This window comes from Homo sapiens, chromosome 4 (assembly GCF_000001405.40).
Source record: "Homo sapiens chromosome 4, GRCh38.p14 Primary Assembly".
In the NCBI taxonomy this organism is placed as follows: Eukaryota; Metazoa; Chordata; class Mammalia; order Primates; family Hominidae; genus Homo; species Homo sapiens.
In genome coordinates, this window is record NC_000004.12 from 102,265,655 (window position 1) to 102,282,852 (window position 17,198).

General features: G+C 39.4%; 1 protein-coding gene across 8 annotated transcripts in view, besides 1 other annotated feature; it reads right to left on the minus strand.

The window, feature by feature from the left end:
- The window catches only part of SLC39A8 (solute carrier family 39 member 8), a 94,442-nt gene that overhangs the window by 14,614 nt on the left and 62,630 nt on the right, over positions 1–17,198 (minus strand). For all 8 annotated transcript variants that reach the window (NM_001135147.1, XM_024454184.2, XM_047416070.1 and 5 more), the window contains 2 exons: positions 2,218–2,425; positions 1,836–2,020 (listed from right to left, as the gene is read on the minus strand). In NM_001135147.1, the coding sequence (NP_001128619.1) occupies positions 1,836–2,020; positions 2,218–2,425 (393 nt within the window). The remainder of the gene's footprint in view (positions 1–1,835; positions 2,021–2,217; positions 2,426–17,198) is intronic.
- Positions 1,776–2,975: an enhancer, noted in NCBI's record as "MED14-independent group 3 enhancer chr4:103188587-103189786 (GRCh37/hg19 assembly coordinates)". NCBI's record gives its function as "activates an origin of replication core promoter dependent on BRD2, BRD4, P300/CBP and CDK7 cofactors, and independent of MED14, by STARR-seq in HCT116 cells {active_cell/tissue: HCT116}" and the evidence as "EXISTENCE:reporter gene assay evidence [ECO:0000049][PMID:35650434]".

Consider the following 17,198-nt stretch of genomic DNA (forward strand, 5'->3'; position numbering starts at 1 on the left):
AATGCTGGGAGGGGTGGTATGATCATTTACTTTGGATGTTTAAAGGTTTTAGTACTGATAGCTTAATAGGAATATCTAGTTCTTTCAGGCATCAACAAGAGTAAAAGTACTGAAGTAGTATTTTTCTCCAACTGAATCAATCAGTGGGATGGAATTTACCTCATTTTATGTTCTCTTTCTCCTTTTCCATTACCTGCTCTCTATGCTTCACCCAACCCATTCTTTCATGACCTCAAGTTTACCCAGCAAAATCTTCACATCTACCATCACCTGTACCAGAACTTGTATTTCTCTAATTTTTCAGTGGACTAAATCCTTCACGTTTTACCTTATATCTTGCTAAAACACTTTTGCTAGCTAATCCTAGTTTATTCTAGATTCCTTTATTATCATCTCTCATCATATATTCTACTTTCTCTCTTATTTCATAGCATTTTTTATTATTTGTAATTATTTAGTCATCTGTGTGATTTTTTGTTGTTTAATTTAAGGATCCCCTCTTTCTAGAGGAAAAGCCCCATGAATGGAAAAGCCCCTTGAACTGTGCCTATTTTGCTCACTCCAGGATGAGTATTATTTCTTAGTATTATTTCTTTAAACTGAACAACTCTAGTAAGATTCCATTCTTATATCAGAAAGTAAAATGACTATAAGATAGCATGAGACATTAATTTTGTGACAAAAGTTATAAATGTAGCATTGGTTCTAAGAGATGAAATCCTTGCTCTTCTGAGGGTCTGCAGAGAACAACGAACAGAGCTAGACAAATATAATTTGGAGGTAAGAATGCAAATAAAAAACTCAAATTATTAAATTATGTATGTAATACATCCAGTTCCAAATGCAAAAGAAATAGTCCTTGATTTTCATACACTACCATATTATCATTTTATAGAAAGATTTCCATGATTTATTTTAAAATGCACAGGATATTCTCTCTCTTACACACACACATGCACACTCTTTTTTTTTTAGATGGAGTCTCGTTCTGTCGTCAGGCTGGAGTACAGTGGCACAATCTCGGCTCACAGCAACCTCTGCCTCCCGGGTTCAAGCAATTCTCCTGCCTCAGACTCCCGAGTAGCTGGGATTACAGGCGCCCGCCACCACGCCCGGCTAATTTTTGTAGTTTCAGTAGAGACAGGGTTTCACCATGTTGGCCAGGATGGTCTAGATCTCTTGACCTTGTGATCCGCCCGCCTCGGCCTCCCAAAGTGCTGGGATTACAGGCATGAGCCACCGCACCCGGCCATGCACGCTCTTTTGAGCACAAACACACACATACACACAGATACAAAGACACAGACATTGAACAGATATAAATATATACTATGTCAAATAACTATTGTCAAAATTTTACCAATTTTAGTGTACCAGTTTTAGTTTAACCCAAAAAGCTGTCACTGTTTAGAACTTTGAAATAACAAAATGCTATTTACTCTAATAAGTTATTCCTCTTCCAAATGTGGCATAGACACAAAAGAGGGAGAAAAAGGAGAAAAAGTCCTATAGGGACATACTATAACATAAGACAAGATGTACCAACCACAAGGGGAATAGAGATAGAGGAAAATATCTCTATTTCAGCAAAAACAAATCATTTCACCTTCAAACAATACGATTATGTTTTAAAGAACCAGTGAGGATCAGTTTCAAATTACTATTAGTGTAAACTACTCAAGTAGAATGATCTGTTGAAATGGGATTGTTCTGAATTACAACAGAAAGGCCTTCCACACTGCGGAAAGCAGAAGGCCACCCTTAGTTAACTTATAATCCAGATACTCATTTCCAAATTTTAAATTAAAAGAAAATACAAATTTTAAGCTTCTTACCATATCTGCCAGAGAAATATAGAGGAACATGCCTCCAGCAAGTGCAAATATAATATTTGGAGCGAAATTGTTGCCCACCAAAATGCCAAAAGCTAGCCCAACATAGCAGGAACATGCAGAAAGGAAGTTGAATAGCAAGGCTTGTCGAGTGCTCATCCCTGCATTGAGTAGGATCACAAAGTCTCCTAGAAGAAGAAGAAGAAAATATCAAGTGAATAGTTTTTTTTTTATTTCTGGATGATATCAAAGATAATCATCAATGTCCAACAAGGTCTTCATTTTAGTGCATCAGAAGGATTTTAAGAGCATGTCACCTGAAAAGTCTCATTCCACTGAAATCAAGAAGTAAGCAGACTTTTACAATATGAACAGAGCTCCTTACCTAACTCGTGGGGAAACTCCTCACATAGGATTGCTATGGAAGTACTGAGTCCCTGAAGGAGAGACAAGGTGCAGGAAGCCCCAATCGCCAGGCCATCGATGAAATTGTGGAGGGCATCGCAGAGCGTTATCATCCAGGCAATCGTCCCTATTTCTGACAGTTTGGGCCCCTTCAAACAGGTACATGAACTTGGCTCTTTTTTTCCATCCTAGCAGAAAATCAATTAAAATGATAACCAACATTTCTTGAAAGTCTCAGAAATACAGACAAGTTGGAGATGGGTTGTGCTTGAGAAAAACAAATTGTTCCAACAGAAAGTCTTTTAGAGTAACTAGGAAACCCTAATAATATATAACAGAGCAAAGAAAACTTATGGTTGAGAGAAAGGAAATTCATCAACTGACACACCTCGAATAAGCCACTAACAGATATTTTCCTTTACTTTCCCTTTAAAACAATTCTTTTGACTTGTATAAACTTCTTCCTACTGCCTTTCTAAAATGTAGCAGATATTAACCTAAGAAATTTATTTATACACAAGATTTAAAATGAAGGAAGTTATTCAAAGACTAAACTTAAAGTCTTTTTTATGTTACAATTTAAATGTGAAATCCACAACTAGAGCATGATGAATGACATCAGCAACATTTGTTCTAACCCCTCCTATGCCACCATGTGACAGGGAGCAAGTTATCACAGAGTTCCTTCAACTGTGAAATGAAGACATTGTACTAAATGATTCATTTATTTATCAACAACTTATTGAGTTTCCATTCTGTTCCAGGTACCCTGTGGAGGGTTTAGGCTGTAACAATATGGTCTCTACCAGCTCCAAAGCTTAATTATTTTCTTAACAAATTGCATGAAGTGTAAATGGAACAGGCTAGCCTTTACACTAACACTTCCTTTCATGTAGAAACAATTAAAAAATAGAAAATCCTGTGATGGACTCTTTGTAGGAATTTAGATTTCCAGAAAATTTACAAAATTGTACAAAATCAAATGACAAATGCCAACTAAAACACTTTCCAGAAGTTGTAGAAAAAGATAAAATGCAAATTCATTTTTAAGTACAAAAGCACTTTGCAATTAACTGGAGAACATTTTATTCCTAATTCTCCTCCTCTCACCTCTACCTAAGCAGCTAATCATTACATTTATTGAACTTCTGAAATTTGTAAAACACTCTGTTGAATGCTATAGGAAATACACAGAAATGGAAAACACAGCTTCTGTCTTCAAGAAGTGTATTTACATTGGAGAAACAAGTCATAATATATATGGATACATTAAAAAAAAAACATGCAATATATATCCAACAGAGAGGGGCTTACTTCAGAGCAACCATCTAAGAGGTTTTACAGTTACTCCAATATCACTTCACCACTCCAAACACTTTGGGGACCAACACTTTCAGAATCAGCCTTAGATCCTGCAATACATCTCTTTACTATTTCGTTAGTGGCAAATCTGCACCTTTGGATTTTTGTTTGTTTGTAGGCACAGATAAAAGCATTTGGAGCAAATATTTTTTTAATTAATATGAAATGAATGGGAAACTGTTAGTAATAGGATTCATCATCATTGTCATCACCAATGTGGTCGTAGTAGAAATAGTAACAGCAAAGGCACATAGCATTTATAATGTGCTAGGCACTGTTCTAAGCACTTCAAATACCGAATTCATTTGGAACAATTCTATGAGGAAAGTACAACTGTTACCATCATTTTATAGTTGAGGAAATTAAAGCACAAAAAGGTTGGTAAACTTACCCAGAGATACAAAAAAAGAGTGAATGGGCATTTTTGGCAACAGTGCTTTACTACTACACACATATCGGGGATGGGAATTCTTCTCTGTAATAGGATCTGAAGGTAATTCGCAAGGAGACTTCCCCACCTCTCAGAAAACTCTTCTGAACGCTTGATGCAACATTGAGTAAGTATCAAATCTTTTTTATTTTAAGAAACAAAGCTTATCCGCATAAAAAATTCTATCTTTTCTTAAAATGTGGGCTTTTTATTTTATAGCTGTATCTTAAACGCACAACACAATAAACAATCATAATTTAGCACAGGTGGATCGGGTAGTTTGCATAAAAAATGCCCCAGAGCGGGAAGCAATTACAGCTGAAGGAGAAACAAAGGTGGTCATAGGGAAAGCCACAGAGGAAGTGACCTGGGCTTTGTAAAACTTAATGCCGTGATATACTTAATGAGATTATTTTGAATTAAAGCAGTTGTTTTCATCTTCCAATCTAATTTGTCTAATTACATGTTTAAAATTTCCTTATTGTGATGACTTCAGAAGAAGACTACAAAACCAAGTCTTGACTACCTGATATCACTACAGAGTCTGTATACAAACACCCTTAATTTTACAGAAGAAATTAAATTAATATATCAGGAATGATTCTCATACCTCTAAGTACAGATATTATTGACTCTATTTATTATGCCTCATGCTTTGGTCCCAAATGATACTGTTGAGCAGGTAAGAGTTATACATTTTTAATAGTTTTGGAACAAACCAAAGTCAGCAAACCTTCACAGAAACTTCTTTTTTAATTCACCTAGAATTAAATCACTGAGCAGAGAGAACACTAAATTCAAGTTCCTGTAGTTAAATTAGTGAATATGCCTATCTCTCTCTTTCCTTTTTAAATTTTTGTTTTCTATTGTTATTGTTGTTCACTTGCTTGCTTTCTTGTCTGAGTTTTACTCTAAATATGAGGCTATTTCTATCCTCAGCCATGATGAGGCAATTCAGCCTAGTGAAAAGACACTAAGTCTGGAATCTAAAACTGAGTTCAAGCTTGGCTGTGAGAAGAATTACCGTGTAATCTTCAGCAAGACTTGTAACACCTTTCACTTAGTTATTAATGGGGATGGAAGTCAAAGCAATGTGTAGTGTTATCAGAATGGGGGAGAAAGAATATCATGCACCAAAGTTAAAAAAATAGAGGGAGACTATGTTGAATCCCAACATAAATTGGAGGGCAAAAAACAAAATTTTTTTCAAAAAAAGTACTTAGAAATTAAAATGGAGAAAACAAATGGGCTTATTGCAGAACAGTTTAAGGAAGGAGGAGAAAGTTGTAGAGGATGAGGAGGCCTGGGGGAATAGGGAGCACAAGGAAAGGGAGAAGTAGCATGAGGAGGAGGAGGAGGAAGACAAGTATAAGGAGGATGAGAAGGAGGATGAGGAAGAGGATGAAGAGAAGGATGATTAGGAGGAGGACAAGGTGGAGCATGTGGAGAAGGAGGAAAAGGAAAACAGGGAGAACAAGGAGAAGGAAACGAGCAAGCATGAGTAAGAGGAGCAGGAAGAGGACTAAAAGGAGGAGAAAGATAAGGACAGACAAGAAGGACACAAAGGAGGAGGTGAAGAATATATGGAAGAGTCTCTTTTAATAAGTACAGAATGTGAATCTAATTCTATTCCACTAAATCTCATAAAAGGCCATCACAGAGGATAGCTTCAGTAATAAAGTGAACAAGAAAATCTGATTGTCACTCAGTATCCTTCATCAACCATCCAAATGTTTGCTTAATGGACCCACATATAAAGCACAGAGTGGTGCAGAGGGAGGATATATATAGGTTCAGCATTCTCTTCTCCTACCAGGGGGAATCTGGCTTTCCAGCACTAAAGAAGTCCCAAACTTCAAAAGCCAAGGCTGATGCTGAGCCCCCAAAAAGCTATCACTGTCCAACAGGGCAAGAGGACCAGGTGGCTGTATGTGGTAGCAGAATGATTCCACTGGATTCCTCCCATTATAAGGGGATGCTCTTGGACTCACAAAGATAGACATATACAATATATGTCTTCCCTGCCTTCAGTGCCTCTGCAAGCACCATCATTCATGGACTTATAGTGCAACTGATATATAGCCAAGGTTTCCTGTGAAAACTATCTCCTAACCATTTTTTAGCAAAGGAAGTGAGACAGTGGGCTCAATACATATAATTCATGGATCACATCACCTGCACCCTCTAGTAGCAACCAGTTTGACAGAATGATGAAATGTCCTGATGAAGCCTCAGCCAGGGTGCAAGCCAAGAGATAACACCCTGAGAGGTTGGAGTTCTGTTCATAGGTTGGGCAGCCAAGTATATGGTGTCATCTCTGCTGTAGAGAATGCACAAATCCAGGAACCAAGAGGTGAGAGTAAAAGGGGTATAAGTCAGGCTCAGGGGCTCCTGCCAGTAATCCCAGCACTATGGGATGCCAAGGGGGAGGACTGCTTGAGGCCAGGTGTTCAAGACCAACCTGAACAACATAACTAGACCTCGTCTATACAAAAAATATATTACTTTGGGAGGCCGACACAAGCAGATCACGAGGTCAGGAGATCGAGACCATCCTGGCTAACATGGTGAAACCCCGTCTCTACTAAAAATACTAATAAAAAAAATTAGCTGGGAGTGGTGGTGGGCGCCTGTAGTCCCAGCTACTCAGGAGGCTGAGGCAGGAGGATGGTGTGAACCCGGGAGACAGAGCTTGCAGTGAGCCGAGATCGCAGTGAGCCGAGCCTGGGTGACAGAGTGAGACTCCATCTCAGAAAAAAAAAAGAAAGAAAGAAAAAATTACCCAGGTATGGTGTCATGAGCTTATGTTCCCAGCTACTCGAAAGGCTGAAGGAGAGTTACAGTGAGCTATGATTGCGCCACTGCACTCCAGCTGGGCGACAGAGTTAGACCTTGTCTCTAAATAAATAAACAGATAAATAAAGTAATCTATCTTATTTTTATGCCTAATACACCACTTAAAGAATTCTTACTGACAGGCCAGATGGCCAAGTAGGAACAGCTCTGGTCTGTAGCTCCTAGCCAGACCAACGCAGAAGGTAGGTGATTTCTGTATTTCCAACTGAGGTACCCAGTTCATCTATTCAGGATGGTTAGACAGTGGGTGCAGCCCTCTGAGGGCAAGCAGAAGCAGGGTGAGGACCCAGGAAGTGCAAGGAGCCGGGGACCTCCCTCCTGGAGCCAAAGGAGGCCATGAGGAGCCATGCCATGAGGGACAGTGCTCTCCAGCCCAGATACTATGCTTTTCCCAAGGTCTTTGCAACCTACAGACCAGGAGATTCCCTAGGGTGCCTACACCTCAAGGGCCCTGGGTTTCAACCACAAAACTGGGTGGTTGTTTGGGCAGACACCAAGCGAGCTACAGGAGTTTTTTTCCATACCCCAGTGGTGCCTGGAACACCAGCAAGACAGAATCATTCACTCCCCTGGAAAGGGGGCTGAAGCCAGGGAGCCAAGTGGTCTTGCTCAGCGGGTCCCACCTCCATGGAGCCTGGAAAGCTAAGACCCACTGGCTTGAAATTCTCGCTGCCAGCACAGCAGTCTGAAGTCAACCTGGGGCACTCGAGCTTGGTGTGGGGAGGGGCATCTGCCATTACTGAGGCTTGAGTAGGCAGTTTTCCCTTCATAATGTAAACAAAGCCTCCAGGAAGTTCAAACTGAGCGGAGCCCACCACAGCTCGGCAAAGCCACTGTAGCCAGACTGCCTCTCTAGATTCCTCCTCTCTGGGCAAGGCATCTCTGGCAGAAAGGCAGCCGCCCCAGTGAGAAGCTTATAGATAAAACTCCCATCTCCCTGGGTCAGTGCACCCACGGGAAGGGGTAGCTGTGGGCGCAGCTTCCGCCGACTTAAACGTTACTGCCTGCCAGCTCTGAAAAGAGCAGCAGATCTCCCAGCATAGTGCTCGAGCTCTGCTAAGGGACAGACTGCCTCCTCAAGTGGGTCCCTGACCCCTGTGCCTCCTGACTGGGAGACACCTCCCAGCAGGGCTCAACAGACACTTCATACAGAAGGGCTCCAACTGGCATCTGATGGGTGCCCATCTGGGACGAAGCTTCCAGAGGAAGGAGCAGACAGCAATCTTTGCTGTTCTACAGCCAATGCTGGTGATACCCAGGCAAACAGGGGATGGAGTGGACCCCCAGCAAACTCCAGAAGACCTGCAGAAGAGGGGTCTGACTGTTAGAAGGAAAACCAACAAACAGAAAGCAATAGCATCAACATCAACAAAAAGAACGGCCACTCAAAAACTCCATCTGAAGGTCACCAACAGCAAAGACCAAAGGTAGATAAAGTCACCAAGATGAGGGAAAACCAGCACAAAAAGGCTAAAAATTCCAAAAACCAGAATGCTTCTTCTCCTCCAAAGGATCACAACTCCTCACCAGCAAGGGAACAAAATCAGACGGAGAATAAGTTTGACAAATTGACAGAAGTAGGCTTCAGAAGGTGGGTAAAAACAAACTCCTCTGAGCTAAAAGAGCATGTTCTAACTCAATGTAAGGAACCTAAGAACCTTGAAAAAAAAGTTAGAGGAATTGCTAACTAGAATAGTCAGTTTAGAGAAGAACATAAATGATCTGATAAAGTCGAAAAACACAGCACAAGAACTTCGTGAAGCATACACAAGTATCAGTAGCCAAATCTATGAAGCAGAAGAAAGTATATCAGAAATTGAAGATCAACTTAATAAAATAAAGCATGAAGACAAGATTAGAGAAAAAACAATGAAGAGGAACAAGCAAAGAATCCAAGAAATATGGGACTATGTGAAAAGACCAAACCTACGTTTGATTGGTGTACCTGAAAGTGATGGGGAGAATGGAACCAAGTTGGAAAACACACTTCAGGATATTATCCAGGAGAACTTCCTCAACCTAGCAAGATAGGCCAAAATTCAAATTCAGGAAATACAGAGAACACCACTAAGATACTCCTTGAGAAGAGCAACTCCAAGACACATAATCATCAGATTCACCAAGGTTGGAATGCAGGAAAAAATGTTAAGTGCAGCCAGAGGGAAAGGTCATGTTACCTAAAAAGGGAAGCCCATCAGACTAACAGCGGCTCTCTCTACAGAAACTCTACAAGCCAGAAGAGAGTATGGGCCAATATTCAACATTCTTAAATAAAAGAATTTTCAACCCAGAATTTCATATTCAGCCAAACTAAGCTTGATAAATGAAGGAGAAACAAAATCCTTTACAGACAATCAAATGCTGAGGGATTTTGTCACCACCAGGCCTGCCTTACAAGAGCTCTGAAGGAAGCAGTAAATATGGAAAGGAACAACCAGTACCAGCCATGGCAAAAACAAAGCAAAATGTAAAGACCATTGACACTATGAAGAAACTGCATCAACTAATGGGCAAAATAAACAGCTAGCATCATAATGACAGGATCAAATTCACACATAACAATATTAAGCTTATATGTAAATGGGTTAAATGGCCCAATTAAAAGGCACAGACTGGCAAATTGGATAAAGAGTCAAGACCGATCAGTGTGCTGTATTCAGGAGACCCATCTCATGTAAGAAGACACACATAGGCTCAAAATAAAGGGATGGAGGAATATTTACCAAGCAAATGGAAAGCAAAAAAAACAAAAACAAAAACAAAAACAAAACAAAAAAGCAGGGGTTGCAATCCTAGTCTCTGATAAAACAGACTTTAAACCAACAAAGATCAAAAAAGACAAAAAAGGGCATTACATAATGGTAAAGGGATCAATGCAGCAAGAAGAGCTAACTATACTAAATATATATATGCACCCAATACAGGAGCACCCAGATTCATAAAGCAAGTTCTTAGAGACCTATAAAGAGACTTAGACTCCCACACAATAATAGTGGGAGAATTTACCACCCCACTTTCAATATTAGAGAAATCAATGAGACAGAAAATTAACAAGGATATTCAGGACTTGAACTCAGCTCTGGACCAAGCTGACCTAATAGATATCTACAGAACTCTCCACCCCCAAATCAACAGAATATACATTCTTCTCAGCACCACATAGCACTTATTCTAAAAGAGACCACATAATTGGAAGTAAAACACTCCTCAGCAAATGCAGAAGAACGGAAATCATAACAAACAGTCTCTCAGACCATAGTGCAATCAAATTAGAACTCAGGATTAAGAAACTCACTCAAAACCACACAACTACATGGAAACGGAACAAACTGCTCCTGAATGACTACTGGGTAAATAACGAAATTAAGGCAGAAAGAAATAAGTTCTTTGAAACCAATGAGAACAAAGACACAACGTACCAGAATCTCCAGGACACAGCTAAAGCAGTGTTTAGAGGGAAACTTATAGCATTAAATATCCACAGGAGAAAGTGGAAAAGATCTAAAATTGACACCCTAATATCACAATTAAAAGAACTAGAGAAGCAAGAGCAAACAAATTCAAAAGCCAGCTGAAGGCAAGAAATAACTAAGATCAGAGCAGAACTGAAGGAGATTGAGACATGAAAAACCCTTCAAAAAATCAATGAATCCAGGAGCTGGTTTTTTGAAAAGATTAGCAAAATAGGTAGACTGCTAGCCAGACTAATAAAGAAGAAAAGAGAGAAGAATCAAATAGACACAATAAAAAAAATGGTAAAGGGGAGATCACCACTGATCCACAGGAATACAAACTACCATCAGAGAATACTGTAAACACTTCTACGCAAATAAACTAGAAAATCTACAAGAAATGGATAAATTCCTGGACACATACAGCATCCCAAGACTAAACCAGGAAGAAGTCGAAACCCTGAAAAGGCCAATAACAAGTCCTGAAATTGAAGCAGTAATTAATAGTCTTAACAACCAAAAAAAGCCCAGGACTAGAGAGATTCACAGTCGAATTCTACCAGATGTACAAAGAGAAGCTGGTACCATTCCTTCTGAAACTATTCCAAACAATAGAAAAAGAGGGACTCTTCCCTAGCTCATTTTATGAGGCCAGCATCATCCTGATACCAAAACCAGGTAGAGACAAAACAAAAAAAGAAAATTTCAGCCTAATATCCCTGATGAACATCGACGCAAAAATCCTCAATAAAATACTGGTATACCAAATCCAGTAGCACATTAAAAAGCTTATCCAATATGATCAAGTAGGCTTCATCCCTGGGATGCGAGGATGGTTCAACATATGCAAACCAATAAACACAATCCGTCACATAAACAGAACCAATGACAAAAAACACATGATTATCTCGATAGATGCAGAAAAGGCCTTCAATAAAATTCAACACCCTTTCAAGCTAAAAACACTCAATAAACTAGGTATTGATGGAACATATCTCACAATAATAAGAACTATTTATGACAAACCCACAGCCCACTTCATAGTCAATGGGCAAAAGCTGGAAGCAGTCCCTTTGAAAACCAGCACAAGACAAGGATGCCCTCTCTCACCACTCCTATTCAACATAGTATTGGAAGTTCTGGCCAGGGCAATCAGGCAAGAGAAAGAAATAAGGGGTATTCAAATAGGAAAAGAGGTAGTCAAATTATCTCTGTTTGCAGATGACATGATTATATATTTAGAAAACCCCATCATCTCAGCCCCAAAACTCCTTAAGCTGCTAAGCAACTTCAGCAAAGTCTCAAGATATAAAATCAATGTGCTAAAATCACAAGCATTCCTATACACCAATAACAGACAAACAGAAAGCCAAATCATGAGCAAACTTTCATTCACAATTGCTACCAAGAGAATAAAATACCTAGGAATACAACTTACAAGGGATGTGAAGGACCTCTTCAAGGAGAACTACAAACCACTGCTCAACAAAATAAGAGAGGACGCAAACAAATGAAAAACATTCCATGCTCATGGATAAAAAGAATCAATATCATGAAAATGGCCATACAGTCCAAATTTATAGATTCAATGCTATTTCCAACAAGCTACCATTGACTTTCTTCAAAGAATTAGAAAAAAACTACTTTAAATTTCTTATAGAACCAAAAAAGAGCCTGTATAGCCAAGACAAGCCTAAGCAAAAAGAACAAAGTTGGAGGCATCACGCTACCTGACTTCAAACTATCCTACAAGGCTACAGTAACCAAGACAGCATAGTACTGGTACCAAAACAGATATATAGACCAATAGAATAGAACAGAGGCCTCAGAAATAACACCACACATCTACAGCCATCTGATCTTCAACAAACCTGACAAAAACAAGCAATGGGGAAAGAATTCCCTATTTAATAAATGGTTTTGGGAAAACTGGCTAGCCATATGCAGAAAACTGAAACTGGACCCCTTCCTTACACTTTATACAAAAATTAACTCAAGATGGATTGAAGATTTAAATGTAAGACCTAAAACCCTAGAAACCCTAGAAGGAAACCTAGGCAATACCATTCAAGACATAGGTATGGGCAAAGACTTCATGACTAAAACACAAAAAGCAATGGCAACAAAAGCCAAAATTGACAAATGGGATCTAATTAAACTAAAGAGCTTCTGCACAGCAAAAGAAACTATCATCAGAGTGAACAGGCAACCTACAGAATGGGAGAAAATTTTTGCAATCTTATCCATCTGACAAAGGGCTAATATCCAGAATCTACAAGGAACTTAAACAAATTTAGAAGAAAAAAACAAACAGCCCCATCAAAAAGTGGGTGAAGAATATGAACAGACACTTTTCAAAAGAAGACATTTATGTGGCCAACAAACATATGAAAAAAGGCTCATCATCCACTGATCATTAGCGAAATGCAAATCAAAACCACAATAAGATACCATCTCATGCCAGTTAGAATGTCGATCACTAAAATGTCAGGAAACAACAGATGCTGGCAAGGCTGTGGAGAAATAGGAACACTTTTACACTGTTGGTGGGAGTATAAATTAGTTCAACCATTGTGGAAGACAGTGTAGCAATTCCTCAAGGATCTAGAACCAGAAATGCCATTTGACCCAGCAATCCTATTACTGGGTATATACCCAAAGGATTATAAATCATTCTACTATAAAGACACATGCACATGTATGTTTACTGCTGCACTATTTACAATAGCAAAGACTTGGAACCAACCCAAATGCCCATCAATGATAGAATGGATAAAGAAAATGTGGCATGTATACACCACGGAATACTATGCAGACATAAAAAAGGATGAGTTCATGTCCTTTGCAGGGACATGGATCAAGCTGGAAACCATCATTCTCATTCTCAGCAAATTAACACAGGAACAGAAAACCAAACACCGCATGTTCTCACTCATAAGTGAGAGTTGAACAATGAGAACTTACGGGCACAGGGAGGGAAACATCACACACTGGGGCCTGTTAGTGGGGTGGGGGGCAAGGGGAGGGATAGCATTAGGAGAAATAACTAATGTAGATGACGGGTTGATGGATGCAGCAAATCACCATGGCACATGTATACCTATATAACAAACCTACACGTTCTGCACATGTATCCCAAAACTTTAAGTATAATAATAAAAAAAAAAAGAATTCTTGCCTCCTGTCCCCGAAACCTTGGACTTGATGAGTTTGATGGCCCTACTGTCCAAGGCAGTAATTCTTATACCAGGAAACATGGTCATTTTCTGATTCACTGGAAGTAGAGACTAACTCCTGGCAATTTAAATTTATTTATGGCCCTGAACCAACAGAGATGAGAAAGTCACTATAACTAGCTAGGGTAATCACACCTAATGATCAGGGGGAATTGATTTTCTGCTACAGAATGAAGACAAGGACAGTGCTTAAAACTCAGGGAATTCAGTGGGATGCCTCTTAGTACTCCCTTCCCGATAGTCCTGGTCAAGGGAAAATAGCAACGATCCCCCAATAAAAACAAGACTACCAAGCACTCAGATCTTAAAGAAATGAAGATTTCAATTGCCCTAACTGGAAAATGACTCATCCAGTCAAGGTGATGTCAGACAGTAAGGTAAATACAGAAGGTATTGTCGATGGGGGGGCCCTATAATGAGCAGTTTAGGCCTCATGACCAGCTCCAGAAGTGAGCTGCAGCTATAATTAATGTTCCTTAATTGCATCCTCTTCTCCCAATATTTTATATGAAGAGTGTTGCTGGGGACCAATATTTTAGTCAGGTTGCAGTATTAGTAAAAGACATCATGGGAATGATATGGTAGTTGATGGGATTTTGTGCATACCCTGTGTTAGGAACATGCATTTGTCAACCACATGGAGGACAAGATTGGAGGTTGATAGAGAGAAAAGTGGTAGAGTATTCAAGGTATCTTTCATTTCTCCCTCCAGATCCGCTTTCCGCTCTTCTTTCCCCATAAGACCTGCAGGCACTCTATCAAAGGCCCTCATGTCCAGGTGCTCAGCAGGTTCCAGACAGTGAGCTCTAACAAAATTGGAGGGAAGGAGGAGTGGGGATCGGGATATTTATTCCCTTGGCTCCCTCCTTGAAGGTTAACTTAGGCTGGCTATGTCCACAACTAAAGATCACTGTTCCACGTACAGTAGCTTTCTACACAAAACTAGCTCCTTTCAAGTTCTAGAGAACCTTTTTTCTTCCCTTTTCCCTTTGGTCATAGGTTGTTGACAGCTCCACTGTTACTAGCCTCAGGTTACTGCCCTGTGGTTCACCTACACTGTGCTCAGAGTTTTACAAAGTGTCTCTCCCCTATTTATTATTTATCCTTATTTGAGTAGGCCATCTCTCTCTGGAAAGGATTTGACATATCCAAAGTCTAATGCTCATTCCACAACACAATACTATGAACTATATATACTGTTAAATAAGTTTTCATGAAAAAAGTAACAAAAGGATTACATAGACATGAATATATTAAAAAGAGTTAAACGCATTCTGTAAACATAAAGTTTTGATAGGCTTTGCTTTCATTACTAGGTTTTCCAGTGATAAATGTTTGTATTTTATAGCTGGTGATTACTTGGTCCTTCTCCTTACCTGAAAAGTCAGCTAACTACCAAAATGAAGCTTCACATGAGAAAAGAGAAATTATTTATCCTTTAATGCATGTAACCAAATATAATTCAAATGCACTTACCTTCCAGTCATTCAGTTTCAGGTAAAGCTCAAAACTATTTCCAAAACTCTCTTTGCTAATTAAAATAACCATTAACAAGAAAATAACAATTTCTAGAAACCTCGCAAGTTGTTTCCTGTCTCTCCAATCCTGTGGAATGTGAGTAAAGTTGTTTTGGTCTTTAGTAGTTTAATTAATAATCAGTTATTTTCAGTTTGGGACCATAGCATTTTTACTGCCTTGAAAAGAACAATTTAGGAGAAACCTGAGAGGTTTTCAAGAAATCTGCTACTTTGCCAATGGAATCTAAAGTAAATAATAGTTAAATATTTATGGTTATCCTAATGGACTATTTATACCACTCTAAAAGGCTGCTTACTGTTGCTACAGATGAGGATGGCATTAATGCACTGGTACATTCAGGACACAGGATATCATTTCTTATAAAAAGCCCATAAAATGTACCTCCCCGCCTACACAACTCTCATTCTTACTGCAACATCTTAAAGGGATTCAGGAGGCACCAGGAAATTGTTTAAATTTCAATGTAAGTTGGAGAAATCAGTTGCTAGGATCCTTAAAAGTAGTGTTTCCAAAATATAGGAATATCTACACTGATCAGCCTCAAGGCTTTCAGAATAATTCATATGAGAAAACAGGGGTAGGATGGGATGCCGTGGAGAAACCAACCCCGTGCAGCAGCTGCCTGTCATGTCTTAACATTTGACATGAATTACATCAAGAACTGAAATATTCAAGATCCCACTCAATATACTCCATGTGACTCACCTGCAAAAAAAGAGAGACTGCTTTCTGTGGCAGAGAAGATCTAGAAACACACGGTCAAGGAGCTTAGGGAAAGTGGTAAGAGGCAAAGAAATAGATGAGAAGAGAGATTAGAGCCAGTGGTAACTGCAACCACCATGACAGAACAGGCACTTAGGACCAAGTGGGGGTGATAAGGAATAGGCAAGGTGCCAACAGAGAGACAAATATAAAGCTATTCTCTGCAAGGGGCAACTGGCACCCTGGTTTATATTTCAATAGTTCAGAAAAACAGAGGCTGTCTCTACTCTGTACATGGAGCGTGAGAAGTAGGAGCCACACAAGATAAGGGTACCAGGACCACATTCCCTCTGAAAGCTGTCACTGTGCCACTCTAAAGATGTGCTGACCCGTTTAAGAAAAGAAGAATCGGGCATGAAATATACAGAATACACCACTGGAGCACAGAGCAGTAGTGATAATAATATTTATAGTAATAACAGAGCCTCCTGCCGCATTCTCACTATGCTCCTGGTACTGTCCTACGCATTTTACATATACCATCGTTTAATCTTCACAACTGCCCTATATAGATATTATCCCCATTTTACAAATGAGGGAACTGAGGTATAGAAAGGTTAGGTAAATTAACCAAAGTCATACCTCTAGAAATGTGCAGAAACAGGATTTGAGCCTCCATGCCAAAGAAGCTAAGCCTGTGATCCCCAGGAGATACAGGATTTTATTTTCTGTGTTGTTGGTTCCTGTTCACCCAGAATGTAGTAGCACTGTAGGCACTCAGTGAGTGTTTGTTGACTAAATAAATGTGTAGTAATATTAAAAGTACATCTTCTCTCATGACATGTTCACAAATCATTGTCCCATGAAGCATGTATTCCAGTCTTTCCAAAGAGCAAACACATGGACATTTATGCACAACATGGAAAGGATGTGCATAAAAAAAGTTCATTAATCAATTCCAAATTGGTTCACCAATATAACATAAAATTCAGTGCAGAGATGCTTTTGTTGTTTGTTTGCCAATTCTTAGCTACTGAGAGTTGAAGAACTGGATTAAAATCTCCTGGCAGGACAAGATGTTTTTTTCCTTTTTGGCCGAGAATTTAGCGTTTAATGGGTGTTCAATAAATATTATTTTTAATTAAATGGTGGGGGGGGGTGCTGAATTAAGTAGAGAAATGAAATATCAAAATACATTTCAGTCAATGGATCTCAGAGGCTTCCTCCTCTATTCTAGTGATCAAGGCAGTTTTTTGTTTGTTTGTTTGTTTGTTTTGAGACGGAGTCCCACTCTGTCGTCCAGGCTGGAAGGCAGTGACGCAATCTTGGCTCACTGCAATTTCTGCCTCCCCGGTTCAAGCGATTCTCTTGCCTCAGCCTCCCA